The 27,949-nt window shown below is 50.6% G+C and overlaps 2 protein-coding genes across 38 annotated transcripts in view, besides 10 other annotated features; one reads left to right on the forward strand and one right to left on the reverse strand.

Moving 5' to 3' along the window:
• Positions 1-2,606, forward strand: part of HMBOX1 (homeobox containing 1) — a 163,155-nt gene extending 160,549 nt beyond the window's left edge. For 15 of the 30 annotated variants that reach the window (NR_136758.2, NR_136757.2, NM_001324393.2 and 12 more), the window contains one exon: positions 354-2,598. Coding sequence is in view for 21 of the 30 variants with exons in the window: in NM_001324383.2 (NP_001311312.1) it covers positions 354-491 (138 nt within the window). In the remaining 9 variants the exon portion in view is untranslated. Of the gene's footprint in view, positions 1-353 lie in introns of all 30 variants that reach the window. The other 15 variants (XM_047422223.1, XM_017013823.3, XM_047422219.1 and 12 more) reach the window with 1 other exon arrangement.
• Positions 5,807-7,006: an enhancer, noted in NCBI's record as "P300/CBP strongly-dependent group 1 enhancer chr8:28913988-28915187 (GRCh37/hg19 assembly coordinates)". NCBI's record gives its function as "activates an origin of replication core promoter dependent on BRD2, BRD4, P300/CBP, MED14 and CDK7 cofactors, with strong dependence on P300/CBP, by STARR-seq in HCT116 cells {active_cell/tissue: HCT116}" and the evidence as "EXISTENCE:reporter gene assay evidence [ECO:0000049][PMID:35650434]".
• Positions 10,304-10,443: an enhancer, noted in NCBI's record as "active region_27178". NCBI's record gives its function as "activates an Ori minimal core promoter by ATAC-STARR-seq in GM12878 lymphoblastoid cells {active_cell/tissue: GM12878}" and the evidence as "EXISTENCE:reporter gene assay evidence [ECO:0000049][PMID:35858748]".
• Positions 10,484-10,533: an enhancer, noted in NCBI's record as "active region_27179". NCBI's record gives its function as "activates an Ori minimal core promoter by ATAC-STARR-seq in GM12878 lymphoblastoid cells {active_cell/tissue: GM12878}" and the evidence as "EXISTENCE:reporter gene assay evidence [ECO:0000049][PMID:35858748]".
• Positions 10,594-10,643: an enhancer, noted in NCBI's record as "active region_27180". NCBI's record gives its function as "activates an Ori minimal core promoter by ATAC-STARR-seq in GM12878 lymphoblastoid cells {active_cell/tissue: GM12878}" and the evidence as "EXISTENCE:reporter gene assay evidence [ECO:0000049][PMID:35858748]".
• Positions 10,674-10,793: an enhancer, noted in NCBI's record as "active region_27181". NCBI's record gives its function as "activates an Ori minimal core promoter by ATAC-STARR-seq in GM12878 lymphoblastoid cells {active_cell/tissue: GM12878}" and the evidence as "EXISTENCE:reporter gene assay evidence [ECO:0000049][PMID:35858748]".
• Positions 13,528-13,822: a silencer, noted in NCBI's record as "tiled region #8281; K562 Repressive non-DNase unmatched - State 14:Gen5'". NCBI's record gives its function as "represses a minimal TATA promoter and a strong SV40 promoter by Sharpr-MPRA in K562 cells {active_cell/tissue: K562}" and the evidence as "EXISTENCE:reporter gene assay evidence [ECO:0000049][PMID:27701403]".
• Positions 15,874-16,373: an enhancer, noted in NCBI's record as "H3K4me1 hESC enhancer chr8:28924055-28924554 (GRCh37/hg19 assembly coordinates)". NCBI's record gives its function as "activates a minimal SCP1, AML or CMV promoter by ChIP-STARR-seq in primed H9 embryonic stem cells {active_cell/tissue: H9 hESC(primed)}" and the evidence as "EXISTENCE:reporter gene assay evidence [ECO:0000049][PMID:30033119]".
• Positions 16,614-27,949, reverse strand: part of KIF13B (kinesin family member 13B) — a 196,111-nt gene continuing 184,775 nt past the window's right edge. For 5 of the 8 annotated variants that reach the window (XM_011544459.4, NM_015254.4, XM_011544457.2 and 2 more), the window contains 3 exons: positions 24,617-24,679; positions 20,956-21,652; positions 16,614-20,102 (listed from right to left, as the gene is read on the reverse strand). In XM_011544459.4, the coding sequence (XP_011542761.1) occupies positions 19,840-20,102; positions 20,956-21,652; positions 24,617-24,679 (1,023 nt within the window). In that variant the 3' untranslated portion in view covers positions 16,614-19,839. Of the gene's footprint in view, positions 20,103-20,955; positions 21,653-24,616; positions 24,680-27,949 lie in introns of those variants that run through there. The other 3 variants (XM_005273458.2, XM_011544458.2, XM_017013257.2) reach the window with 2 other exon arrangements.
• Positions 19,633-20,362: an enhancer, noted in NCBI's record as "H3K4me1 hESC enhancer chr8:28927814-28928543 (GRCh37/hg19 assembly coordinates)". NCBI's record gives its function as "activates a minimal SCP1, AML or CMV promoter by ChIP-STARR-seq in primed H9 embryonic stem cells {active_cell/tissue: H9 hESC(primed)}" and the evidence as "EXISTENCE:reporter gene assay evidence [ECO:0000049][PMID:30033119]".
• Positions 24,262-24,765: an enhancer, noted in NCBI's record as "H3K4me1 hESC enhancer chr8:28932443-28932946 (GRCh37/hg19 assembly coordinates)". NCBI's record gives its function as "activates a minimal SCP1, AML or CMV promoter by ChIP-STARR-seq in naive H9 embryonic stem cells {active_cell/tissue: H9 hESC(naive)}" and the evidence as "EXISTENCE:reporter gene assay evidence [ECO:0000049][PMID:30033119]".
• Positions 24,766-25,267: an enhancer, noted in NCBI's record as "H3K4me1 hESC enhancer chr8:28932947-28933448 (GRCh37/hg19 assembly coordinates)". NCBI's record gives its function as "activates a minimal SCP1, AML or CMV promoter by ChIP-STARR-seq in naive H9 embryonic stem cells {active_cell/tissue: H9 hESC(naive)}" and the evidence as "EXISTENCE:reporter gene assay evidence [ECO:0000049][PMID:30033119]".

The raw sequence follows: 27,949 nt of genomic DNA on the forward strand, positions 1-27,949 counted from the left end.
ATTAGTGCTATATTTGTTACAAACAGAAAGATCCAAATTGTTGGTTTTATATCAATCACTGCAGGTTTGATCATCATCACCAGCAATCTTATTAATAGAATGAATAGAATTCTCAGTGATGAAAAACATTTTTTGTGCTTTTTACTTGTTGAATCATAAGATTATCAACTGAAAATCTTTGGACCTATATCCATTCAGTGTCTACTTAAATACAATTTACCTCTATTTTATCATGAGCCCCTCCCCCAGTTTCCTCCCACGAATGTTCTGCCTCCCCTTGCCCCAGCATGTCTCTCTGTGACTAAAGAATTCTTCCAATCCACTAATAACATTTCTTATTTCTGCACATCTAGGATGACAGTACGAGCCATAGTGACCACCAAGACCCCATCTCATTAGCTGTGGAAATGGCAGCAGTCAACCACACTATCTTGGCATTGGCCCGACAAGGAGCCAACGAAATCAAGACAGAGGCCCTGGATGATGACTGATCAGGGAGGTTAAACATGACAAGTTAACTTAGTTTAGACGTAGCACCTTAGCAGACTTTCCTCGGTCCTTAACATGTGTTCTTACAGTATAACTTGCAGTTTCTTGTATGTCAGGTAGCTGTTAGGGTCTTGTTCTGTGAAGATGGCATGGTGCCCTCAGCCTTTGCATATACTCTCTCAGTATTAACTCCCAGTAAATAATAACCAACCAACCAACCAAACTTCCCTCTCCCAGCCCCCGAGGCTAGAAAATCTTGCTGCTCCGTCTTAGCATTCCAAGAAAGTGCTTCCAGGTATTTAGATAGCCCTCAGTTCTCAAATATTAGACTACGTGTAAAATCTTGGGTACCTTTAGATTCTTGTAACACTAGTCTGTACTCCCTTTTCCTTCCCCAAGACTGATAGGATGCAAGCTGAGGTCGTGGCACAGGAATGACAGACACCATTTGGGGAGTATCCACAGAGTCAAAGGAACACTAGAATCCCCACCTCAGCGTGAGGATAATTGATTTCCAGCTGCAATAAGCCGTGCCTCATTATAGCCACACTGTGGCTAGATTATACTTCTTTGGGTGCTGTGCTAAGAATGTCAATGGAAAAAGCCGATCTCAGATTTTGTTTGAAGTTAACATGCCTGACACAGACATCCTTTCCTCTCACAAGCTGTGTGACTTAGTAGATAAAATACTGCCTTCTGCCTTTGGGACCATGATTAAAAACAAAGACAAAAACCAAAAGTCATTAAAAAAAAAAAAAAAAAAAACCCAGCTTGAGAGCATTGGAAAAAAAAAATATGAGCTGAATGTCTAATGGATGCTAAGTCCAGTTTTCAGAACCACTGTACATTCCACGGCACAGTTAGCAGTGCCTGCCTGGAAAAGTTTTGGAGGTCATCGTGGAAGTTGCTTTGCCTCCTGTCAGTGTCCCCTTTCCCTGCTACCAAAAAAGTCTTTCAAGGATGGAGCTAAGGTCAAAAATGAGTGAAAAAACTTGCAGTGTTTGTATCCATTAAACGGAAGCCCCCTCACTCTGAGAGGTCACTAGAGGACTTCATAGTGGGGTTGTGCTGCTTATCACAGATGCAGACACTTGCCCAGATAGGAGCAGAGAAAAGCAGGGGACGTTTCCTACTCACATTGTGGCTGTATGAGAACACGATGGGACTGCTTTGCTGTTCTCTTTACTCTGTCCTTGGAGAGGTGTGAAAAGCTGTATTGCTACAGGCAATTTATTTAATAATTGGAAGCCATATTGATAATGGATGTGGTAATATTTGTAAAGTTTAATCTACTTTAAGCGGCAGTAACTAATGGAATTTTTTTCCTTGATCACATATGTAGCACTTTTGTTACTTTTTAAAGATATTTATATTTGATAAATCTTTTTTTCATTTTGAGAACTCAAAATACCAAACAGTGAACTTGCATTCTAAAGTCACCCTGTGATCACCTTGTCATCTAGTAGCAAAATGATGAACTATTCATGCATCAAAGAAAATTACATCTGCTGGCCTTGTATGAAAATGATCTCTTGGCATCCCGATTAAATGACACACTGTCACTGTGGGTAAGAGGAAAGAGCCTTCAATGTAGCAGCACAGGGTGCGCCTGAAAGAGGCACAACTGCTGTGGATTTTCTGCCTCGCTCCATCTCTCCTATGTATAATGAAGCCTTGTTTAAAGGGGCATGTGGGGCTGGATGTTAAGCACGGCTTCTTTTTGTCCGTTACCTGAAAACAATTTCTAAGATAAAAGGAAGGTGCCATTTCCTTACCTCTTCACCCATCCTCCTCCACCAAATGTATTCAACTTAAAACTGTGAGAGAGAGAGACTGAATGACCTTCCTCAGTTTTCCCTTTCTCATTCAGGAGATACTGAATATCCGCCAGTTTGTAGTTGGTTTCCTTCCACTTAAGGCACACGCTGACTGCATCATTTCCTTATCTGTTAATCCTGCTTATGTGAGTGTGAGGAAAGTCTTTGAGAGGGCATGAAAGTGCCACCTTATATATGTCTGTGACTTTAAAGAGCTATATGCAGGGCCTGGTCCCACTTTTGTCCATGGATTTCAGGGGGAAAAAATATATGTACTTTTTTCAGCTTCCAAGCATTGAAGTGAAGTGGAGCCGTCTCTTCTGTTTTACTGTATTACTTGAACCAACAAATTCAAGAGTAGCATTTGTTATTCTCAGGAATGAGCCTCCCACCGCCCCCCCCCCACCGACTCATATTCTTTTTTGGTTTATCTTTTTATTTCAATTAGGAGATTACGTTCTCTTCCTTTCCTTTTATTTTGCTTAGAGGAAATGTAACATAGTCCCATTTTTGTGGAATTTTGACGCTTATTCTCAATTGAATCAGAAAGTACAAGGAGACAGAGAAAAAATCCGCTCTGACAAGCCACATCCATGATTGATTGTAAGGGGATTATTATAATTGATAGCTTCTTTATCATGGGATTGCTAGTATCATTTGTACTTGCTGGTCTTTTTAAAGGAACAGACTGACTCAAACTGTTAAGACAGCTGCAGTTTCTAAAGAAATACAAAGATTGCCGTGGATGCACTCAAAGGTTTCATTGTTTTAACACCTTTAAGGGAGAAAAAAAGCTTCAGAGAATAAAGGCAAGTTCGCATCCATGAAGGGCAGTACCAGACCCTATATGGCAATGTGGTAAAACTGAAAGAATATTTCTACCACTGCAGGAGAATGTCCTGGAGAGCTCAGTGGGAACAGGAGGAAGGCATCTTCCACCCACAGTTGTTCTTGTCATTGGAGAAGACCGCTGGCTGCTCTGAAGACCCACTGCCTTACATGTCACTTTTGCTTTTTCACCAAGAGTGAGAATTTACTTCCTTTGGGCCTAGATTTAAACCTGTTAGTTTTCTGTTTGTCACCAAGTTCAATTCTGCCATTTTGTCCAGGCCACCTTGGTTCTTGTAATGGTGTGTGGCGCTGCTACTGTTATATTTATTTCTAGTGTCTTTAGGTAGTATATTTCTCTCTTAGGCTTTTTCAGGTTTTAGAGGTGGAATTAAAATAGAAACCCTAAACTTCCGTATTACTGAAGGGAAAGCAGCCAGGCTCTAAAAACTCACACTGTATGCTTCTTGGTTGTTCCGCCCCTCCCGTTGTACTTCACTCTCTCCTTCAGGCCCCAGGGGACTCCCGCAGGGGCTGTTCCTTCCTGTCGAGGAGGACTTTCAAAGGTCTTTTGAAGTGGGGTGTGGGGGAACTTGCCAACAGGTATTCATATAATTTGTTATTTCTTTAAAGACACCTTAATTGAATTACTATGGTCAGATGGGTAAACTTTCCAAACTTTAAAAGCACTGACACAGGGACCTTTTAAAATGGGTCATCTTGATGAGATCTCTGCCCATCTGTTGATAACCCTAACAGTGGATGAAGGCTGGGGAGGGCAACACCCTGCATTCTTATCTGAGCCCTTCAGTGCTATTCAGTTCCAAATGTTTTGATTTGTTTCAACAAAGTCTGTAATGTTGGAGTGCCCTTAGAGCAATTTTCTTCACAATCAAAATCACAATCCTTTAAGTGGTTAATAAATGTAGTTGCCTTCCACTCACTTATGACTCTGGACAGTCCCCACCCCTGTCACTCACAAGGGCAGTCTTCCCACCCCACCCCCATATTCACATTCCCATGGCCCATCACAGGAAGAAGGAACCTGGGGCAGAGACGAGGAAAATCATTAAGGCAGAGGTGTACACATCCAGTTCTCTAGTTCTTGGTAGATTTATGGTGGCAGCCAGTTCAGTGGTCACCACCACCTATGTTAGGTCCATGTATCCAGATATATTTTACCTCAAAGGAGATGACTGAAGAATTCACCAATATAGTTATTATTTCCTTTCTGCCTGTTTAACATTTGTCTTTAAGAAATATTGGCTTTAGAAACTTCTCCCTTGGATATCAACCATCAGGCACCAAGTACAAACAGACTCATTGAATCAAGAGTCTCCAGCCTCATCCTGTGAATAGCTCCTCTTCTGTTTCCCTCTGACTAGGCCTTCAGCTGACTTCTTTGCTGGAATTTTCTAATCTTGTGACAGCAGGGAAAAGCTGGATGTGGTCCATCTCTTAACACAGACACTCCTCCCTGTCTTGACCAGCTACGTATTCCACTGACCAGCCTCATCATCTCTGCCCTCAACAGTGGAAATGATCTCTTTCCCACAGATGTTCTCCCTCCCTCCTTCCTTCCCTTCCCCTTCCTACAAACGTGAACTCTTAAGTCTTTACTCTCTGGTCTTCAGAAGGGTTTGGTTACAAGCAGTCTTCCCATTTAATTTGTGGCTCTGCCTTTTAAAATTGTTTTTTGTCTTTTGTTGTTCAGAGAACGACCAGAGTATTTTCTCCCCAGTGTGTCCCAACAGATTCTTAGGCAATAATTTTTCTTGTTGATGATCCCGTGCTCAGTAGCACACTACATTGAAGAACCCTGGCCCTCACCATTGTGTGTTGGTTTCTGTGTTAATCTCTGTGATCTGAATCATGTCAGAGTGATGATAGATTTTGTCATTTTGTTGTGATTATTAGTAATGTTTTACTACTGTATTCATTGGGGCTGTGTTGAGACCAGCCAAATCCATTTATAGCTTTACTGAGCCGGATTGATTTGTCAGGATTTCCCAAGTGAAAGTTGGGCATATTGCCCAGCTCCTGCTGGTGGTATCTTTGGGGAGTGTGGGATGGGGTGGGGGGATGTCCTGGGGCAGGGGTGGGAATGACACATATAAGGCATTCCATTTTTTTTTTTTTTTTTTTTTTTTGCTTGTGCTTATTAAATAGCAAGGGTGTTTACTCAGGATTTGGGGATCAGTTGTAGCCATGTTGAATTTGGCAAACTGAGCTGTGTGCCCTGAAAGCCCTCTTTTTATTTCTTCATTTCCATATTGTCTGACTTACTTCACCTAGGAATACCTGAGTTATCCAGTCCAGTGTTCCCTGATGAGAGTGGAAGATTTTCCTGGAGAGGCAGCTGTGCATGGCCAGGTCATCTGTCAGGATGTTGTGGTGGTGTGTGATCAGAGCAGAGGGCCTTTCTTTTCCTGTACTGTGCTCTACTTCCTTATGCATGCTTGGTTTCAAAGATGACCGCCACTTTAAAAGAAAGATTTCCTCACAGCTCTCCAGAGAACTATCATACTAAGGTGATAGGAAAGGCTTCTCGGATACAAGCCAACAAGTCAGTTTTCTGATTACAGAAACTCCTCTCACAGGTTATGTTTGGAAAGGCTGTTCTCCATTCCACTTATAAATTGAAAGTGATAAGCTACTGTCTTGTGATCTTGCAGGGCCAGTGGTTGACTCATCTCTGAAAGGTAACTTCGTTCATATCTATGTATTTTCAAACCTGGAAGCTTGTAAATTGGAAGTTTCAGTATTAGCTTTATTATTCTTTCTTGGTGAGGAATAGAAATGGCAGCAAAAAGAAAGCCAACAATCTGAAAACTCCAGTCTCCTCTAACACTGGCTTTGTTTTAAATCAAGATGGGAAGAGATACATGAGGGGTGGGAGGGAAGATATGCCGGCTGCCCTTTCTTATCTCAGTGACGTAGATGCCTCGGGATTATAGGCACGCGGATCACTGAACCTCTTTTTTGTCATTCTTCCTATGACATTTGTGGCAGAACTTTTTAGTTGATTCTGTTCACATGAAATGTGACAAGCATTTTTACACCATGAGACAGTTTACTACCCACATGCCACACCCATTGTCTGTCTCATCAGCCAGCCCCGTAACTGCACCCAGAGGGGTGCAGCTGCAGGGGAGCTGTGCCTTTCTCCTCTCCTGACACTCCTTTCACGTGGCAGGTTTGCAGGTTGGTTGGCCCTGGTCTGGACAGCTGTGTCCGTGCCTGCTCGGCTGCCCTCCAGTTGGTCGGTGTGGCTGGCGTGGGCATGTACCCCCCGACTCGCACTTGAGAAGTCTTGGGATGCCGGCTCCCTCGACTCCATTTTCATTTTAAGTAAGAGTGGCTCTGTATAGCCATAATTAACTCTCAAATTCACATTGGTGTGCTGTGATCAAATGAAGGTTGGACTGAATCTTTTCAAACTGTAACCATGGTAATTGAGGGGGGTGGCATAGAATGAATATATAAAAATATAATGGCAATTGTTCTGAATGACTGAGTGTCCTCCTGACATGTAATTAGCTGTTTTAGCAGGATGTAGATTGGCATGGTCATAATTAAAAGAATTTCTGTCTTTTATGTGATTGGAAATGGCAGCGCTCCCATCCCCTGTTCCCTCTTAGCACTAATGCTCCCAAGAACATTTGGAACAGCAGCTCCATAAACTAAAATAATGACATGGTGCTCGTGTTCTCCCCTAAGTGAAACAGCAGAATTTGGAGTTGTTTCAGCTTCAAAATGGAAGCCTTTGATTATTGTTCCCCATTTGACTTCTAAGTTCTTTGAAACTTCACTCAACATCCAGTTCCAACTTGCTCCACCTCTGGCAGAAACCACAGTCAGGACCCCAGAAGAAGCCCCTCTGACCGGCCCCCACTGCATTCCAGCCCATGGTCTGGCCAGCTCCGGGCCCTTGCTTGCCTAACTCGAGGATGTTGCTGCTTGCTGGGCTCTCTGGGATCTTCAGATTTCCCTTGGTTGCTTGATATTTCCATTGCCGTCACTATCAGAAAGCATTTCCCAAACAGAAGTTTACAGAAAATTGAATCGAGGTTTCCTCATTGAATCCTAAGACTCAAAGCAGACAACATGACAGGACACATATAACTAACACAGGCTTTAAACAGGTGGAGGCGTGAATGGAGTACTATTCACGACATTCTAAAGCTACTGGAGCACGGGACACGTGTCTGTACGCTCCTCTCACACCCCTTACTCGGCAGCTGCCCCACTCCCGCCGTTGCCGTTGCCCTGAGTCTTCCCCACTGTTCTGCTGTGCCAGTGTGAGCATCTCCCCGGCACTCAAGTCCATGTTCTCTCCCTCCCGCTCTTCCTCCTGTCTCTTCCATGCTCCCTGTTGCACGGGACATCATGTGGGCTTGATGCCGTACACAGTCCCTGACCATGGCCCCCTACTCTTCTCCAGAAGTGTCACACTAGACAGGAGCTGCTGAGTCACCAACTCACCTTTCCCTAGAATGTGGGTTTGTTTTTTCTCCCCCATCACTTGCAGAGGTCTTTTTTCAATTATATGATCAAGAATGAGTCTACAAGAATACCAGCACCAGACATAGTGCCAAATGGCCTTTTGTAAGCTGTTTCGTGCCCTTGAGGCTCGCACTTGTGCTGGGTGAGCCCAGGACCGTTAGCCTTTTCTTTTCTAGGTCTGGACACTCCGGGGTTGGTTAGGCTAGCCACTGGGGAGAATACAGCTCTGGCCTTTTTTCATATTTTGCTGCTTCTCTTTGTACAGATCTTTCCCCCTCCACATACCAAAAGGAATCCTAACCTAGTTGAAATGCTAGTTGCAATTCAGTTTCATGAGAATGCTGAAGTAGGCTGCTGATTTAAAATTTTCCTCTTCCCTGAAAATACACACACCTAGAGAATTTAGGGAAAGGCTCTTAGGGCTTGGGAATCTTATCTTTTCATTCCCCACAAAATACCTACAAAGAAATGTCTAGTATTCCCTCAGTATTCCTCCTCGTATAGGCTCTGAAAGCAACCTCATTCCCACCCAGCCCTTGCACACCGGCATTCAAGATCCATGCATGCAGTTGTTGAAACTGTTTTCTTTGGGATCCTATCTTTATGACAACTGGAATGATTGTAGATTTATGACCTCAAAGAGTAGAGCATTCCTTTTCCTATTTTCCCAGCTGCTAAAATATGACTGTCTCCATTAGAATTTAGAATCCGTCTTAAGCTTAGAGATGGTAAGAGCTGACTGGATGAGTCTAATTCTATGATTTGTGAGACATGCATTAAAACCGTCAGCAGAACATTCTGATGATCCACCTACACTCAAAGAAAACACAATTAACACCACAGTTAAAACCTTCTAATGGAGCCCCTGTCTTAGGGATCAAGGTATTAGAGGTGCTGCTTCAGGGATGGTGCTACTTCAAAAGAACTGAAGTTGGAGAGACACCTCCCTTCCCAAATGCTTCTGCAGGCCACTCTGGTGATTCAGAAAACCCCAACCATATATTCCTTTACCAGCAGCGCCCACCCTTTTCCGTAACTCAGCTTACCAAAATCAGTGAAAATTGAGACAGTGCTTACCCATGAAATATGTGGTTTTTGAACAAAAACCCCAGAAGTTAGTTATTCTTATAGGAAACTAAAGATGCCACCATTGTAAATCATAATACTACAGAGACAAATGCACAGGTCTCCCAACCACCTCAAAGTCAATACAGCCCATGTTTTCTGAGCACGTACTGTGTGCTGGGCACCGTGCTGGACATGTGTGCTGCCTCATGACCCGACACCAAGCAAGTCACCTTGCCCTTGGCAAGGCAAGTCTCCCCTCATTTCTTTCATTTCAGTAGGACGTTCATCTTCAAAGAACAGACCACATAGGATGGTCTGCCCTCTCTGAACACTAACCTGGTTTGCTTTCTCACGCAGCAGTGCCAGGTAGCCTCCCAGGCGCACTGTGGCATCGCCCCCGCCTCTGTGAGCTGAACTCCCTCCGTGAGGGTCTGGACGTGAGGGCCCCTCCAGAGTCTTCCTCCCTGGTCAGTGATGATGACAGGAGTGCAGGGAGGTGCCGCAGTGGTTGACAGGGTGGGAAGCCTGTGTGGCCGAGGGGAACTTGAACTCCGGCACCCCTTGCCTGCAGTTAGCCAAGGCAGAGACCAGGAAACCCTCTTGCACTTCCCATCTTCTCTCTCCAGCTCTTGTAGCGCTACCCTGGCCGTTCCTTCGGGGCTCCTGCTGTGTTCAGGAGCATCTTGCTCAGCTGGCCCCTCCTCCTCTCTAGAAACCGGGGGTCTGGGGTTCTGGAATTAGATCAGTGTCTGCTCTGCCTCAGGCCTCCCTGCCTCCTCATGGGCCCTGACTGCCAAGAAATAACAGTTGCTGGAGACATATCTTGATTTGGGGTCAGCGTAAGAACTTTCTAGAACCCAGAATCCAGCAAAGGCATGAGCTCCTTTGAGGTAGAGGTCTGGTTCCTGTCCTGCCACATTTCACGTGGAACTGTGGTAACTTGTCAGGGACATTGAACAAGGGACATGGGTACCAAGCTGACCTGAGGACTCAGCTAACTAAAGTTCCACATTTCTTCCCTCCTTCCCTTGTCTACCTCTTTTCCGTCAAACGTAAGTGGTCCTCTAGGGGTTGGCTCTCTCATGGTCTTTCTCTTCTGATCTGCTCTGCCCCGTCGTGGGCATCTTGGAACCACCTCAGAAGCAAGGCCACAGCTGTGGACTGGTCCTCGTGAGAGTCTCCCTGGATCCTCTGTACCTGTAATAGGTACACAGTTACGTTATTATCCAACCTCCAATCCCCAAAAAGCCTCCTTAATTTGAAAGAGAAAAGGTATATGTGCCTTGCATTTTGTTATCGGTCCAGATTTTGCATCTGGTGGTGGCTGGGGTGCCATTGGGATTTTGGAATGGGAGCAGTTTGATTCCTCCCTCGGAAGGAACTCATGGCTCTCACAAACCAGTGTCTGTGGCAGTGACAAGTCACAGAATTTGTGTTTCAAGGCTTATTCCTTCTTCCCTTTAAGACTTTTTCAACTTCCTGTCACTTCGGGCTGAGTCTCAATTTCAGTCATGTTTTGTGGCTTCCTTTGAGCACAGAAACCTCTCCTTTTCTTCCGTTACTGGAACTAAGATCCCAGCGTAAACTCGTGAGAGTCATTTTTCCACGTCATCATTCGTTGGAGCTATTAAGCCCGAACACAGAATGACATTAGTGTTATACTAATGTAAGCAGCAGCCACTCTGGTGATGTTGCATTGAACTCTTTTGTTCTTAAACCAGATTCACGGCGGGCAGGCACAGAGTTAGAAGAGTGGGCTGCAGGAAGACACGTGCTCAGCGGTGGCTGCTTTCAAGCAGCATTGTTTTTTGCCTTGAAAACCACATTTCATTATGTTAGAATCGGTGATCCCCTTAATACTGCATCTCTGAAAATGGGCACCATGAAACCAAAACCAAAGTTCTGGATGTGGGGGAGTGGAGCTTTTCTTTCGAAGCACTGGGAGCTTGGGCAGGGCGTCCCGACTGCCCCTCAGTTTTGCCGGAGCACTCGGAAGGGCCTCCTCTTTTCCTAGTAGTTGCCTCATGGTGACTCTAGAAAGCAAGTGTGTGCAGCCTGTGCCTCCCCGACCCATGGCGGGCGTCTAGATCAGGCCCTAGGAGCCTCCCCATCCCTGCCTCTTCTAGCCACTTCCCGGGGGGCTGTAGAGCACGGTCACAGGAAGGCCTCTGCTGGGCCGAGTCTGCGGTCCCTGAGCCATCACAGCACTGGCGTCTTCAGACACACCCTGGCTGCAAGGCAGGACACTCCCCCTGCCGAGAGACACCATGTGCGTCATCATTGCCTCCCCTGGAAGAGCCCACAGCCTTCTATGATCTCCCCCCCGGGCTCGCCCTGCCTTCCACGGCCATGGTCACGTTGGGTATGCAGTACTTTTCAAGGATAAATTTTTGTTTATGTTTTTTAAGTGCCTAAGCAAGATACAGACCTCTGGAACCTGCCAGAGAGTCGGCCTATGCCCTGTCCCCATCCCTCCCCACCCTGCACTGGCCCTTGAGGGTGGGCACAGGGCGGCTGCCCCTCTCCAGTGTCCCTGGCGTTCTGCAGGCAGAACAAGGCAAGGACAAGCTAGCGGGAGAGATCGCTTCACAGCCATATCAGGCTGGCTTCGTCACTGTTTTCCAGCGTTTCTTTCTTTAGGGCCGTTTCTGTTTATGTGGTTTGGTCTTGGTTCATAGAGAATTTAAGAGTCTGCTTAGGGAAATCTCAGTAGCCACTAAGAAGACAGGAGAGCAAGACAGCCTCAGAGCAGCATTCCAGCTCTGGCTTTGGTAGGAGTTGGAAATGTGTCCACATCCAAGAGGGCGAAGCGTCGAATCATCCTAGCTCATGAGCCTGCTGACTCACCTGCCAGCGTGAGCCACCGGAGCCCCAGCTGCCTTTCCGAGCCCTCTCTGCCTAGACTAGAGGGATCAGGGTGTCTGCTCGGGAGGGCTTGGGAAAGCCAGCAATCAGGCGTTCAGATCCCAAGTGTGTCTTTGGAAATGAGTGTGAGAGTATTTGTTTCTTTTTTAAAAAATAATTTAAGTCTGACCTAAATACGGGGCCTTTATTCTGTGATGGGTGTACGACAGATTATTTTGTGACTGCAGTCTGTTCAAATCACATCACTAAGCAGCGCTGAGATGATTTGTTGGTGCATTAAAAGGTTTTGCATCATGGAACAATCCATACCCAGGCACTTTATTTTCATTAATAATCCAGCATTTTTGTTCAGACAATGTAATAACCCAAACACTGGGTATTCATATTTGACACATGGGCAAACTTGCCAGTGGAATGGAATTGTGACCTGACAGAGAAGGGAAGGCAGGCTGACGAAGGTGATCGAATGGGAGAACAGTGCTGTGGTGATCATGAGAATGAGGCTTTTCTGTAGCATGTAAACCAAACCGGACCCTTGGCAGTTCGTCGTCCCTCAGTTCTCCAGATGCTATTTTTTGCAGGTTCTACCAAGTGCTTGTTGATTACCCTAGTTGTAATTATCTAGGGAAGAGATGAATGTAAGTGAGAGTGCAGAGCACTGGGGAGGGTGACAGTGAAATGCAATTAGAGGCAGCAAGAGAGTCCTAGTCTGTTCTCACATAACCGGACTTGAACGCTCCAGTGCGAGCAGAGTGCTGGGGGTGGATTCCACTGCCGAACCACGGCAGCTTTGCTTTACTCTTCAGCATGGGGGTGGTAACTAGCTGCACAGCAAGTTATGAAATGGAAAGCAAGCTTAACAGCTGTAATCTCATCGGATACCCTGGAGCAAATGCCTTGGGATTGCCTGAAGTGAAGTGTTTAGCATCCACCAAATAGTTGAGTTTCTAAGATGGGCCATGCGGGATCCCTGCCACACGGGTGTGGGGGCAGCGCGCTCCTCCCTGCCTCGGCTGCTGTGTGTGTTAGTCTTCATGTTTCCCCTTGGCGTCTCCTCTGGTCCCTGTCCATCTTGTGCACCATGTGTCCCTGAGGGCGAGTCACACCTGTGTCTTGAGTCTGCTGTAAGGTGTTCAGTCTACCTCAAGGGGTCATCATGGTAAGCTCTATCCCACGGCATCCTCCGTCCATCACCACACACACTGGAATGTATCCCCCCCGCCCTGCCCCTTCGATAACCTCCTGACCTTGTCTTTCCTATAATCACCACAAACTCCTAGTGCAAATTGGATGCTGCTTTAAATGTGAAAACAATTGTTCAAAAGCTATAAAACCTGAATGAAAGCTGAAGCTGAATTTATAAGCCTTGTTGCATATGAGCCAAAAGTGCAAAAAGCTCTATATAATGAACTAACCTGCCACTCGTATAAATATAAATATATATAAATATATTAAAATCAGACTGTTCTACAAAATTGTGTATTTGTATTTTTGTGTACGTACAATTTTCTGCTAAGCAGAAGGAGGATGTAGTATAGGATGCTGTGAGAAGAGATTTGGTTTAATCCTATTTCTTTGTTACTTATTTTTGTTAACATCAGATGCCTGTCTTTGTCTTATATGTGTATGACACTGTTTGGAAAGCTGCAGTATCTCTCTTCCTGAGGTCCAGAGGCCATTAAAGAATAAACATGGGGCTTAGAGGTGTCTTGGCCACCAAACACAGGTAAGCCAACAGAGTTCGGCTCCCGTACGTGGTGTGGTGGGACCTGGGGCCTGGAGCCACTTGTACTCCTGGGGTGGGACTGAGGGAGGGAAAGGGCTCCCCCACTTCAGGCTGGTCACTGTATGTTGACTTCCCTCTGGGAAGCAAAATTCCACTTGTAAAAATCAGCTTCCAAGACAAAAGATGATCCGATGTCACTTCTGGGTCACCAGGAAGGGACACAGGATCTCTCTGAACTTTGGAACAGACCCTCATATTCTGGGGCCAGAAGTTTGCCCAGAAAGCAGCAGGTGGCTCTGCCTGGCTGTAGAGCCCAGCTCATTGGCTGTCCCTGGGCTTCGTCTCCCTCTTCCGAGTAGTTGCTGCCTTTCTTCAGATCAGGTTACCACAATGCCTCCCCGCTGCTGACGCTTCATCCCCCACACCTCCAGCCCCAGTTACCTGGAGCTTCTCAGAACCCACTTTGCCGGTGCTAAAACACAAGAGGGGGTGAAAGTGGCTGCCAGTAATGGCCAGAAACCAACCACCAGAGGCCAGGCTGAAAGACAAGCTCCGGGTGTCCAGGGGCTGACGGGCCAACCATGTGGCAGGTCCCAGGCCCCACCCACTGCGCCATCCGCCTCTGAGCTCCACAGTGGTCCCACTAATGGGAACCTCCTCTAGGGAGAGTGATACTGCACCTTCACCCGTAGGACTCATATTTATAACAATGTGTAATGGCTGTAGCAAAAAGCCCTTGTTTCTAGATGTAAATGGTCAAAGAAACAAGCGCTCTATTGTTTTGAATAAAATAGTTCAAATGAGTCCTGTATCATTGTATCTCCTATTCTGGATTAGTGCCTTTTGGACAGTAGACTGTTCTGTAATTAAAATGTAGTATACTGCTTTTTTGTACAGTTTTGTTTTAATAAAACTTTTTTTTAATTTGTGTTTATTTTAGTATTGTACCTATTAGAGAATAAAATGTATAACTGAATACAGACTGACTGGGATTTCTTTGGATCAAAGTGATCATTTGGGAAGTGACCGACCCAAACAAAGAGAAGTGTTCCATTTTGAACACTGGTCCCTTTGTGCGTTTACAATGACTGGAGAAGTCTCCTGCGGACTGCTGCATGCCACCTGAGTAAGAGGGCAACACCGAGCCAGGAAAGCCCCTCTATACGTCCCACTCCCTGACCCTCCAGCCTGTGTTTGGCACATGTCTAGATGACACCAGGAGAGGCTGTGCCTTCCGGGAGTCCCCAGACTGCACCCTCAATATGGCACATGCCCACCCGGCCTGCCTTCTCCCCACCATCTTCAAGCTACACGATCACAAAGATCTGGCCGCCCCTAAAACCATCAGGATCCTAGGAGCTCTCCCCGCACTGGGAGTGCAGCCTCTGACTTACGCCGAGCAGCTGAAGCCCATGCAGCTTTTCTCTTCCATTCCAGGCCACGCCCTGAGCCTCATTTTCTTAAAAGAGCTCTGTCTCTCTTGGGGCCGCACCTTCAGCAGTAAATAAAAAACACAACACAGTAAATAAAGCCAAGCTTTCATTACTGGTTTTCTCTAAAGGCTTCCATTTGTTGGCATCAAATTCTTAAGCAGGACTCGAGGACAAGGTGCCCCGGCCTCCCTCTCCCTTCTCAGGAAACCTAAGACACAAAGGGTGTGTCTTCACATGCATCACGAGAAAAGATTATGCAAAATTTTCAGCTGCCGCAAACGCTGTTGAAGTTGCCAAGTAGAGGCGGGGAGGGGTTCGGGGTTGGGGTGTGAGGGTAGGGGCCAGCCCTGAGGACATCCCCACCCATGTTCCCCTTTCTTCGCCCCAGATTGCTATTTCTGCTTAAGCAGAAGCGCTGGTGAACCAACCTTCCCACAGCCCACCCAACCCTTCTCCATGTGTACCACATAGCCCAGACATCTCCCGACTGCCCTGTGTCCTCAGAGCACTCTAGGGCCAACACCCTCAACCCCCCAGGCCCTCCTGGGTGCATCAGTGCCACCCTACCATGGCACCCATCATGACAGCTTGCTTCTGTACACTCCATGAGGATAGGCACAGGGTATGTGAATGTTAGTTAAGTGACTGACAGTGAGTGGAAGGAATGAACTGGGTGTGACATCCATTAGAGCCCATTTCAGGGTCTGGGCAACGCTGAAAAAACCACACAGCCTTGGGCAAGCAAAAGACATCTCATTGAGTTGCAAGATAGTAGTAGCTTGAAAAATAAGATCCACTCGAGGTGCTATATCAATACTATGTTCAGAGTCCTGCCTCATTCAGAGCAGGGCATCTCCTGCTGCCAAATTCCTGTCATTATTCGGCAGCGCTTGTCTCCAAGCATTCTTCTGCACTGAGGAATGTAAACCAGCCCTGCCCGGCTGTGCTGGCTGATGGACAGCTCTGGTCAGCCCTCAGAGTGGCTGAGCCCTCCACTTGCAAGTGTATTTCATATCCAAGGGCCAACTGATTCGCTGGCATAGCAAGAAAAGCTTTACATGGGGCCACAAGCACCTCTGCGTCCTTGTGGGAATGTGCACTGGCTGCCGGCATCCCTCACTGGTACTGGACTGGGGCCTTGTGGCTGAGTGGGAATCTACTGGCGAATGGAAGGAAGCCAAGTCATCTTCCCGGGCTCGAAGGCTGGACCCAGCATCCTCGGTACCATTCTAGGCCCACGCTGGGCACAGCTGGGCGGGGTGGCTGCAGAATGCAGGCCTCATCAGAGAGCAGGGCCAGGCAACACCAATGTCAGCCCCACAACCATGATCCCCAGCTTCCCAAAACACCTCGTTACAGAACCCCTCCCCCCGCCAGAGGCTGCCCACCTCTGCAGCAGGGGAAAGAAGTCCTCTCACCCCAGTTTGAGGGGAGAGGGGAGGTCCAGTGTGGGGACCAACACGAAGGTCACAGCAGACAGTGGAGTCATGCCTGAGAGCCAAGGAGAGTCCCTACCAGGTCACCTGTCTCCCAGTAGCACCACTTACCTGGGGTCGAAGGGCCCCAGAAAGTTTCCATGGTTCCTGGCTTCAGTAAGGGGCTGAAGTCCAAACAAGGAAAGATGACTCAGAACCGGGGGGCCTCCTGGGCTCTTAAGTCCAAATCATGAAGAGTTCAGCCTCTGAAGTCCATGGGCTGGGGAGGCGAGCACGGCCTGCTGCTGTTCCCTGATCCTCCTCCTCCCAGTCTCAGTCTGGAAAAGCCCCGCACCACCTTTGCTGAGAACAAGGCCACACCATGACAGGATGGCCTGCCAGGAGCCCCAAAACCCTATGTTGGGGTGAGGGGAAGGAGAAGCAACAAGACTGGCCTCAGACATGATGCAGGTGAGAAATGGTCTGGTTTTATTGAGAAGCTGTTGGTCATTTGATGGAAAGACACATACGGTACAAAATTACAGGTGGTTTAGTTCATTACATGATACAAATCATTAGAGTCTTTACAAGTCATTAGAGTCTTTGGATTTTTTAAACTCCCATTTACTGTGTACCAAATCAATATAATCACAGAATCAAAGTCACTTCTTTATATGTGAACTCTTCGCATTTACACGAATCCACACATAGAGAAGCTGTTCCAAGACCCCCCAACACCATTAGTGTCTGCAGCCCACCAGGAAGGCACCACGGACTTTGTGGAGAGAAAGATGCTTTGGGGGTTCAATGGGTCAGTATCTTGGGCAGGAAGCACAGGGTGACTCCCGTCTTGTGTGCGTGCGCACAGCCACCAACACACACTCTCAGGACTTCCCGTTTCACATACAGGGAACTTTTAAGGCAAGAGGAGAAAATGCTAGGAAGTAACGGGGGATCAGAACTCCTCCACCTCTCAGGCTCCAGCAGTCACATTCCCAGCTCCGTTCTCTTGTTGAACCTTGGTAGGCCCAGAAACATCTTCCCCCTCCTCACCTCTGCCCTCCCGCTCCCTCTGGTCAGGCCTGGGTACCCAGGAACCCAGTCACACACCTGCCCCCTGTCCCCTCTGCTGCTGGACGCAGTGCCCGGGGCAGAAGTGAGCCTTCTCACCCTGGAGCCTCAGTCCTTCATAAGGGCCCGAGGGAAGTGGCGGGGTGGGGCCAGGGATGTTCTGGGCACACAATGGGGAGGCAGGGCCCCCAGAAGCATCCCCCACCCCCATCTCTGACAGCGCCGCGTGTGCAGTTACTGCCCTTCCCGGCCTTGGGTGCCATCTGCGGGCCGACCCACACTAAGGTGCCACTCCTGGGGCCTTCCAGGAGCGCATCGGGAGTCCTAAGGCGGGTGGGCGGGCAGGCGTTCTTGGGAGGTGAGTCTGCTGGTCAGGGAGGCAAGAAAAGAAGATAGAAGACGGAGGCCAGCCCGCCCTGGCCCACCACTCTGGAGACCGCACCTCCTGCCTGCCAAGTGCTGGCCCGGGGTCAGCGGGGCTCACTGCCTTGGTGACCACGTCACTGCACATCCCTCTTTCCCAGCCACAAGCTGACATTAGTCCGCACCGAGAAGCAAGAGTGAACAGGGCCTGGGCCCAAATCCACCTGCTCAAGTCAGGAACTCTGGCTCGTTCTACTCCACTGTAAGTCAAACCGATGGTAAAAAGCACGACACACACGTCCCCCAGGACTTTCCCAAGATGGTGCTACAGGAGGCCGCTGCTGGGTGGATGGCTCAGCCACCACGAAGTGCCAGGTCCCACCCACGCTGCCCGTCCGCCACCATTCCCAGAGCGTCCCCACTACACGGCCCAGGCGTTTCCCCTCAGGGCAGCAGCAGTGCTGGCCTCTCACCCAGGCCATAGTGACACCAGCGGACCCAAAAACAAACTTCTCAGTGAAACAGGTTTTAAAAAGAAAGCCGCTGTGCTGGGAAGCGGGTTGAGTTAAAGGGCAAGGCAGAGGTGACAGCTCTTCATCCAGGGACAGGTGCCACAGGGTTCCCTCAAAATCGGCTAAGGACAGGGAGAGCCCTGGAGGAGTGCCTCCCCCCAGGGGCCGGGCCCTCTGCCAGCCCGGCCGCAGCCTTCGTGTCCCTCGCCAACTGGGGAGAGAAAGACAACCTGTCCTCGCAGCCAGGGCTGGGACAGGCCCACCATGGAGACTACTCTGTTGGCGCCTTCAAGTCCCTAGAGAACCAGAGCCTTCCGCAGCGCTTTCTAGATGTTGACTAAATGTGAGAACTAGAAACCAGCTCCAAGGGTGGCTGTGTGAATCTTGACCCAGGACTCCTGTCCCTAGATTGGTGGCCTTCCACACATAGACGCTAACCCCCATCCCACAAACCTGGCACCAAAGGCTCTGGGAGCATAAGTGCCCCAGCCAGGAGGTGGAGGCCACCCCGGAAGCTTCCGGCTGTCCCGCCCACACCATGCACGGTGGGCCTGGGGGCGTGGCTGCTGTGAGGGTCTGGAGACTAACCAGCACACTCCCTGCACCAGCCCAGCCGCCAGGCCCCAGCCCCACACTCTGAGAGTCTGGGAGTTGCCGAGAAGTTAAAATGACCCAAAGACCTTCCTAGAAACCAAAAGTGCACCAAATAAAGTAGCAATGCCTCTTCCTTTGTCACCGACTACAGAAGCACATCATTCTCCCAGGTTTTTGCTCTCATCCAAGTTAAGAGTAAGGCCACTGTGGATCCGCAATAGAGGGATGTGAGGAGGGGGCTTTATCCTCTGCCGTCCCCAGGACCCTCCACCTGGGCAGGAGGCCAGCAGCTCTGCAATGGCCAGAGAGGCTGCAACGTGCAAGGCAGGCCCTGGGCCCCCCCACACAGGCAGACGACGATTGCGGCTCGCAAATGATTTCGGATTTTGAAAAAATAAATATAAATAAATACATTCCAAGCCTTCTGTGAAGGGAATAAACGGCAAACATAAGAGACTTTCCAGGTGTCTAAAGATGCCAAAACATCCACAGAGAAACCGCTAAGAAACCCTGGCAGAGGAGGGATGGGGGGGCTCAGGCCCTCGGCCCCCGTCTGGGGCACCAGGACCATCTGCCAGAGCCCAGGGCCCTCCAGAGGCACTTGTGGAACCTGGGACCAGGGTGGGAGGCTGGGGGGTCCCCCAGAGGCACTTTGCGGGAAACTGGGACCAGGGTGGGAGGCTGGGGGGCTTGCGGAGTGAGCCAGGACATCCTGGGTGGGTGGGGGGGCTTGCCCTCCAGTGGGGAGGAAAGGCACTGGTTACAATTATGGTTTAGGTTAAGACATTAGTGGGGCCACCAGAATGGAAATGATAGAAAGAGCAACATAAGGCCCCAGGCACAGGCACACAGCAAGATCACCAGGCGCTGCACCACCCAGGGTCTCAGTCCTAGCATCCCCCAGCCCCTGCGGGCACCCAGAACCTTCCATCCACCTGAGGAGGCACAGTTGAGGCCCCCACTTTACCCGGGTACAGAAGAAACAAAGCTTCCAGAGGCCCAGGGAGGTCACCAGCCCTGTGTCGTGCAAAAAGCATTCATCGCCCTGCCCCTGGGGAAGGGGCCACCGGGCTCCTGGCTCCTCAGGGCTGTCACTGGCAGGGCTCAAAAGGGGCCGGGCACCCCCAGAAAAGTTCGCCCTAAGGCAGCGGCTCAGCTGGCCCAGGATTTCCGGTTCTCAGGGTTCTTGTGGCTCCTGTCGGCCTTGGCCAGGGCAGCTGTCAGCGAGGCCAGGTTGGTGGCGGAGCCCGAGAGGGTGGCGCTCCGGCGGGCCTCGGGGGCACCCAGCCGGAGTCCTGTGCTGCGCCGCCGCACAGGGCCCGTGGCCCTGCGGACCCGGCTGGGCCTGACCAGCAGCCCGTAGCCAGGGTTACACCTGAAGTACTGCTTCCCGCCGATGGAACCGTCATTCTTACCTGCGGGGGAAGGAGAGGGTGATATGGAGGGCAGCCGAGCTGCAGACGGCCCCCTGCACCTCCCTTACCTCTGCAGAGGCCATGTGCCCACACTGCCACCCCCCCGCACAGGCCCTACACAGCCAGCACTCGGACACTGGCCATTGTCTGGCAGGGACTGGCTAAATGAATGTGGCCAGGGCCTGGGGTGACCGCCTCCCAGGACAGTGAGCAGTGGTGACCAAGGATGCACAGCCCCAGTCCTGCAGCCTCAGGTAGGAGGTGACAGGCCCTGGGGGCCCTGGGGAGTGCCTTGTGGAAGCATAGGTGCAGGCCAGCCACTAAGGCACAACCGGCCCGCCTCGTGCGGGAACAGACCCTTCTCCATCTGGACCCAGGCCTGGGCTGGGTGGCGGGAGAATGGTTCTTTTGCTGAATCTATGAAATGGAAACTGGCAAAACTGCCAAATGAGGGCGAGTCAGAGGCCAGCGAGATGTGTCCGGATGGGGTGAGGAAGAGCCTCCTGGAACGGCAAAGGGGAGATGCTCTAAGGTGAAGGATGAGAAAGCAGAGCCCAGGGAGTGCAGAGGGCAGGGGAGACCGGAACAAAAGCGGGAACAGCCATGGCGATGGGGGGATGGGTACAGGATCTTTGTAGCCAAAATCATCAGGAATTTTCCATGTCGTCTCCAGGGACTAGCCCTGCCCCCAGCCTCACCCCTGCAGGCCCAGCCGCTCCCGCAGCTTCAGCCAAGCCGCTGCCTCCCGGCCCCTCCCTCTCCTGCCCGGACCCTGTCCCCTCCCAGGCCGGCCACGTTCCTGCTTCCCCAGACCCCCGGCACCACCCTGGAGCCCGGAGTGCCCGGTACCCACCTGAGGGCAGGTCGAGCTCCACGCCGACCCACGTGCCCTCTTGGAAGTCGGCAGGCCCCACGTATCTCACCACGCCCGTTTTGTGGGCGCCCACGGTGACGAACTCGCCCTCTCGGAGCCACTCCGGGACCTCGTCAGCTTCCTCGGAATCAGAGGCCAGGGCCTGTCCCCCGGCGCCCGGGGCCGGCGCATTCCCCTCGGCCCCCGGGGAGCAGCCGGGGTCCCCAGCCAGCATGCGCGAGAAGGAGCGCAACTCCGAGGCCCGCACCCTCCGGACGCGGAACGGGGAGCCGGGCGCCGGGGCCTCGAGGTCGGGGCGCTCCCGACCGGGGCTCACGAGCTGCTGGGGGCCAGGGGGCTCCTCGGCGGGGACGGCCGTGGGCGGTGGGGGGTGGCTGATGGGCGCCTCGGGCTCGGCCTCAGGGGCGGTGGGCATGGACCCCGGCGGGGCCGCAGCGTCCAGGCCGGGGCCCAGGGCGTCCGACAGGGTCGCGGTGGAGACGCTGTGGGAGAAGTACCCGCTAGAGGCTTCACTCAGGGGGCTGGGGGGCCCGTCCTGTGCCTCCGGAGCCGGGGTGACCGCTGTGACAGCTATGACAGGCGGTGGGGAAGGCACTTTGGCAGGTTTGTCGCAGATCTTCAAGGCCGGGGCCCCCATCGTCTGCACCAGCACGTCAGGGCCCATCTCCGGCTGAGCCTGCAGCAGGACGGGGAAGCAGGGGCTGAGAACAGAAAACTTTCCAACACGAACCAAGCAGGCAGCTTTGACTTGGAAAAGAGCATGAGGCCAGGGGCAGTGGCTCAGCCTGTAACCCCAGTGCTTATGGAGGGCAAGACGGAAGATCGCTTGAGCCCAGGAGTTCAAGAACAGCCTGGGCAACATAGTGAGACCCCGTTTCGACAAAATAAATAAATAAAGAACATGGCTGGGACCCGGCCAGGCCCTGGTTCCCACACTGGTTCTGCCACTTAGGGCTGCATGGCCCTGGCTTCCAAAGTGATAAAGGTTGAGGGGCCGACAGTGCACCCCGCAGGCCCTGTGCTGTGTGCCCAGGCTCAAGAGCACTGACCATGGCCACAGCCCCTGCCCCATCTACTTTTTACCTTTCATACAAAATAGAATCCAGGGCCTGCCATGCAGGGCCAGCACGCTACAAAGACCAAGGCCCCTCGCCACAGAGGGCAGCACACAGTAGGTGCACGCTAAAACCCTGCTAGGGCTAGTTAGCTTTCCTCCCATGGAGACAAAGCCCCTGCCCACCCCCAACCTCACGAAGAGACTGAGTCACTAAAGAGACCAGAAGAGCACTTTTTTGTCCGGCAAAACCTAAACAATGATCTCATCGGAGGACCGGAACACACTCAGCACAGCCTGGCCAGCTCAGGCACCAACAAGGAGCCACGGGCCTGCAGCCTGGCTGGGCATCCCGAGCAAGGCAGCAGGGGGACGAGGAGGGGTACGAGGAGGGGTATGAGGAGGGGGACGAGGAGGGGGACGAGGAGGGGGACGAGGAGGGGGACGAGGAGGGGGACGAGGAGGGGGATGAGGAGGGGACAAAGGCTCCCTGTGGGCCGTGGCCCTTTCTCTCCAAGGCTGCTGCTCTGGCTGCTATGGAAAGCAGGTGCCATGTCAGGGGCTGGGGGGGCCTCGGACCCTGGAGAGAGGCCAGGAAGCAGCCCCCAGGGAGAAGCCACCAAGTGAGGCCAGCAGCTCTCCTCATGTCGGTCACTCTGTCTGAGTCACCCAGGCAGAGGACACACACACACTCAAAGCCCACATCTCATGGGGGAGAGCAGCCACCGCTTGCCCAAATCCTATTGTTTCTGGGGCATTCTTTCATCTATAACTGAAGCCATGTGAAGAGGCTGCCAGATCATCTTTCTATTCCTATTCACAGTGACCGAAGAAAAGGAGAAGGCAGGAACAGGGAATGAGATTGGTGGGGTGGAGAGCACTGCTATCCAGAAGAAATATGTTTTCCGATATTTATGGAAAAATTATTTATATTACAGGAATGGTCATTTTCCATTTGAAATACGGGATTTATTTGAATGGGGAAGCGGCTGAGATCTATACGTCTCTTACAGTTACTTGGCTTACCTCAGCAGCTTGATAAATCATGCGTTTTCCCAGGAACTGTCCTTTATATTCCCGTTTCCAGGGGCCCTCTTTTCCCCACCAACCACACTTTCAGGGTAGGAAATTAATGGCACCTCTTGAGATTAACAGCCCATTTTTGTGGTGAATCTCTAGGCTGCAAAATTTACTCAATCCAATAGATCAATAACTGTCACCAGCATAAATACTCTAAAAGATTAGGCAATCCTTCAATCATTCTTCCTTTGCACATTGTCCATGTTTTATTTATTCTCTTCTATTTTAGTTTTAATATCACTGACCCAACAGGGGAGAATACGCAAAACTATGAGAGCCGGGAATCTGAACGGTAACCAGGGTCCTGAAATGGCTTCTGTTCCCCGCCCCCACCCCGGGTAAGGCCAGCCACTGTCACTTCCCCAGGCCAGGCTCTCCCAGGATGAGGCCAGCTGCATGCCTCAGATTTGCAAGTATCATCATCCCATTGGCTTCCATGTAAGACACTGGCTTGGGCTGGGCTGGAAGGATCATGGCATTATTCTACAGCAGGCCTCCAGAGGGGAAAGCCCTCATCCAAGGCTGCACTAAGTGAAAAGGCAGGCACTGGGGGCAGAGCTGCAGAGTCAACAAAGCAGGGAGCAGGATGGTGGAAAGCACAGACTGGCACTCCAGGCCCCATCCCCACTTGACTGGAGTTGATTTGTGAGTTGAAACCCAGATGCCATCTATGGATTATACCCTTGCCACTGAAGAAGACATTTCTGGAGACTTCTGCAAAAGCCCAAGCTTGGAAAACCACCATGATGAGCTACAGAAGCTGCTGCCTTCACTGGCAAGGGGCTTGCTCTGACCATCCTGCTGACCAGGGACACTCAAACCTGCCTCAGAGAAGAGACCGGCACCATTCCCAGGGGAGGGGGCACCCCGATCCCGGCCACAGCAAATTCGTGAATGCCCAGTGTGCACTGGGGTAAAAAGGTCATTCAGATAGAAGTAAATTCACGGAGATCTGAATATTCTTTCTAATGATTGTGCCTCTGTTGCTGTTGTTTTAATAAAGAAAATTTTCCTAAGAAGATACAGCATTTCCTAAGAGAATGAAAGCGCAGTGGGAGAAAATAGATTTGCTATTCATAAGATTAGAAGTGCTGTTGATCTGTGGGAGATTATAAGAGACTATTTTCTCCACAGCTTAGCATTCGTCTTTTCACGCTGATATCATGAATCAGAATGAAATGTAAAACTGAGAATTAAGCAAACATTTAGAAGAAGGAGATTGTTCTGTTTATAGAAATCTCCTCTGCCTAGCTGTGGGCTATTAAGGCAGCAGACTACATTAGCAGTCAAGCACCTAAAAGTTTAGCAATCATATGATTAACAAGTTGAAAATAGAAAAGTATAACAAGGAAAATAGAGAGGGAGAAGGCAGTGACCTATATTATAACTAATTACCAAAACAGGAATGCTAACATCAAAAACTGTGGGTGTGGACTCAACAGTTTCGGCATCAGGGCCACCTGCTCGCTGTAGGTGGGGTGGCCACCCGTGACCCAACAGACTCACCTCCTCCATCCTGGTCACCCTGATGTCCGGGCTGGCTGACTGCACCATGATGCGGGGCACGGGCTGAGGAGGCAAGTGTGCAGGTCAGGGGTCGAGAGGACAGAACAGGGGTAGCAGAAAGGTTTCCGCTGCACAGGCTGGAGGGCCAGGACCTGCCCGAGGGGAATCGGCCCATCAGGTGTGCGAGTGTGAGGGGCTCCACACCCTCCAAGGAACAAGGGACCCAGCAAGGGGCTCCTCCCCCAGCCAGGGAAACAGGCCACATGCCAAGATCACCAACACACATGGTGCACTTACACACACGACGCTCTCTCCCTCCCTCCAATCACATATGCACATGTGAACCGAGGACTGGGCCTGTACAGACAAGCATTATGAGACAGGAAAGATACAGAAAGACTTCCGGCAGGAGGTGAAAGCCATGCCAGGCTCTGATGGCTGGGGAGAGGAAGGAGTGTAGTCACAGGAGGGGAGGAGGAAGGAGGCCAGGCTGGCTGGAGCACAAACCCAGAGCCCAAGATGGCAGGCACAGGTCTGCAGAAGGCCCTGGGCATCGGAAACTAACCCTACTCAGGAGAGGAAGGGGGTCCCCACTGAGTCCTGAGCAAAGCAAGAAGACAGCTGAAGGCCAGAGACACTGTCCGGGTGGGGACACAACATGACCGGAAGAATATTTAAAGTCCAAAGAGGCAGATCAGTAATGCAACTCCAGTGACAGAGCAGGGGGAGGAGGTAAGAGCCACAGGAAAGGGCCTGGTTACTTGTGGACACATGGGCCAGGGAACATTAAAGAGACAGAGTTAAGAATCATCAGAGCCAGGAAAAGGGAAGCCTCGGGGAGAGAAGGAACCAGAGCATCATTCTGTTGCTGCGGAGTGGCTGTGGGACACAGAAGCAGCCGAGCAGATGTGCTCATCCCAGAAGAAGCTGGGAACATGCCACTTCTGCCCCTCCCCCTCCCCCTACCCGACTGCAGGAACCAGGCCTGGCCTCCCATGCTGGGCTCTCATGAGGGCTCCATTCTGCCAGGACAGCCGCGGGTAGGGCTTCTTTCTTGTTGGGTCCACAGGGCACAGCTGGTGGCTGCTCGGTTACTGAACTTTAACTGCCCAGAGATGTGGACTCCACGTCTCCCACCTCCCTTCTCCCAGCCCTCGGCAGTCCTGGTGCTTTGGCTCTTGTGCGTCTGGGCACTTGAGGCCTCGATGGAGTCAGGCCTTCTAGACAGAGCCTGCAGGCGCGAGCCACACCGCCCAGGCCTTCCTTCCTACTGGGGAGCCTGGACTCCAGCTGTAGGGAGAAGAGTCCCGAAGAAGCCAGCCCGCTCAGCAGGGTGCTCACCATGTTTACAAGCATGGAATAGCCTCGCTTCACCTGAGGGCACCACTATGACCACTCGTGCCTTGGGGCTGCTTTTGGAAGAAAAGTATAAGAGGGAATTGATTCCACAGAAGGTAAGGGGGCACTGGCAGGATTTGAGAAAAGGTGCAGTGGAGAGGACTCGAGAGGAAACGCAGCGATCAGGCTTAAAGACCTGGAAGGACTGGAGCCAGATGTGGTGGTGCACACCTGCAGTCCCAGCTCCTCAGGAGGCTGAGGCAGGAGAATCACTTAAGCCCAGGAGTTGGAGGCTGCAGTGAGCTATGATCACACCACCACACTCCACCCTGGGCAACAAAGCAAGACCCTGTGTCAAAGAAGAAAAAAAGAAAATAAGGTGGAAGGACCAAGGAAATGAACAAAAGGAATGTGTACTTTACACTGCAACCACTAGGGAGTTCCTGGGGTGGTCTGAGGCCCAGGACAGCTAGGACCAGGGTGCATTAAAGATTATGTGAGCAGCCAATGGGACAGAATGAGGGAGGGTCCCCTGGTGGCAGTTAGGCCATTGCACATGACAAGGCCTGAAGAACAAGACCTTCAGCCTCCACCTCAATTCCTTGACCAGAACAGTCTCCCCTCTGCGCCCCTCCCAGCACTCAGCTCCTTCTGTCCCACTACTGCTCTCCACGGCCCCGCCTACCGCCATCTCCCAGAGAAGAAAGTGAGGCTCAAGCACGCGTCCCACACTGCCACGCAGTCCTCGCATGCCAGGGCTCGTATCTTCATTTTTCTGCCTATAGTATTTAACGTCCCCACAAATGGGAAGGTGTTCAAGGGTATATTTCATGACAAAAGCAGAAAAAACATTTCTCAAACTCCAAAATACTTGCATTCTTCACTACATCTTACCTAAAGTGGACAAGATTGGGGAACAACTGTTTCCACAAAGGTGAAGTTTATTCCCCTTAAAGCCTAAAAATGCAAATACCCCAAGGATGGGATGTTAAGCGCCTAACATGAAACCTTTTCTAAAATCACATGATTCCTGCCCTCTGAAATAGAACATGCAAACAAGTTACACTTTCCTTCAGGACCCAGTGTGATTAGAAAAACCCAGTAGATAGATGCTTATTAAATATTTGCTGAAATGGATTCAGGGACTCGACTGACTGCCACTTTGGTTCTCACTCTCCATGTAAAAAAGTTCAGCTCAACAGAGACTGCACCAGGTCCTACCATGCGGGGGGCGTGGCACCAGGTGCCTCAGGCAACATCAGCATCAGAGGCATGGGCTTTGCTCTCAACAGATGGGCAACCTGATTGGTGGGGAACACATAAGCAAATCACTAAAATCAAGGAAGGTGACAGTGGAGTGGAAGCTTCAAAAGCAGAGAGGAGGCCAGGCACGGTGGTTCACGCCTATAATCCCAGCAGTTTGGGAGGCCGCAGCAGGAGGATCACCTGAGGTCAGGAGTTTGGGACCAGCCTGGCCAACATGGTGAAACCGTGTCTCTACTAAAATCCAAAAAAAAAAAAAAAAAATTAGCAGGGCATGGTGGCAGATGCCTGTAATCCCAGCTACTCGGGAGGCTGAGGCAGGAGAATTGCTTGAACCTGGGAGGTGGAGGTTGCAGTGAGCCAAGATAGTGCCATTGCATCACTCCAGCCTGGCCAACAATAGCAAAACTCCATCTCAAAAAAAAAAAAAAAGAGAGAGGATTCAGAGGAGGAAAGGGTCATAAATAGAACGGGTGTGAACGCCACATGAAGGGGGCTTTTGGCACAGGCCTTGGGTATGAGTTCAGCAACCTTTTTAAGGATGCCAAATACATCCACCAAGAATACTGAAATCATAACCGTGTGCTCATCCTTCACACGTAATAGCTGAAGTTTTCAAGTGTGTCTGTTTGCACCTTTATGCTCTTCTACATCTCCCCTGTGCAGGCAGTCACCTCCTATTTCAGGGGCTCAAAACATTTCAGATCATAAGTTCATTAATCCTTACAACAC

Source organism: Homo sapiens, chromosome 8 (genome assembly GCF_000001405.40).
Source record: "Homo sapiens chromosome 8, GRCh38.p14 Primary Assembly".
Lineage (NCBI taxonomy): Eukaryota > Metazoa > Chordata > Mammalia > Primates > Hominidae > Homo > Homo sapiens.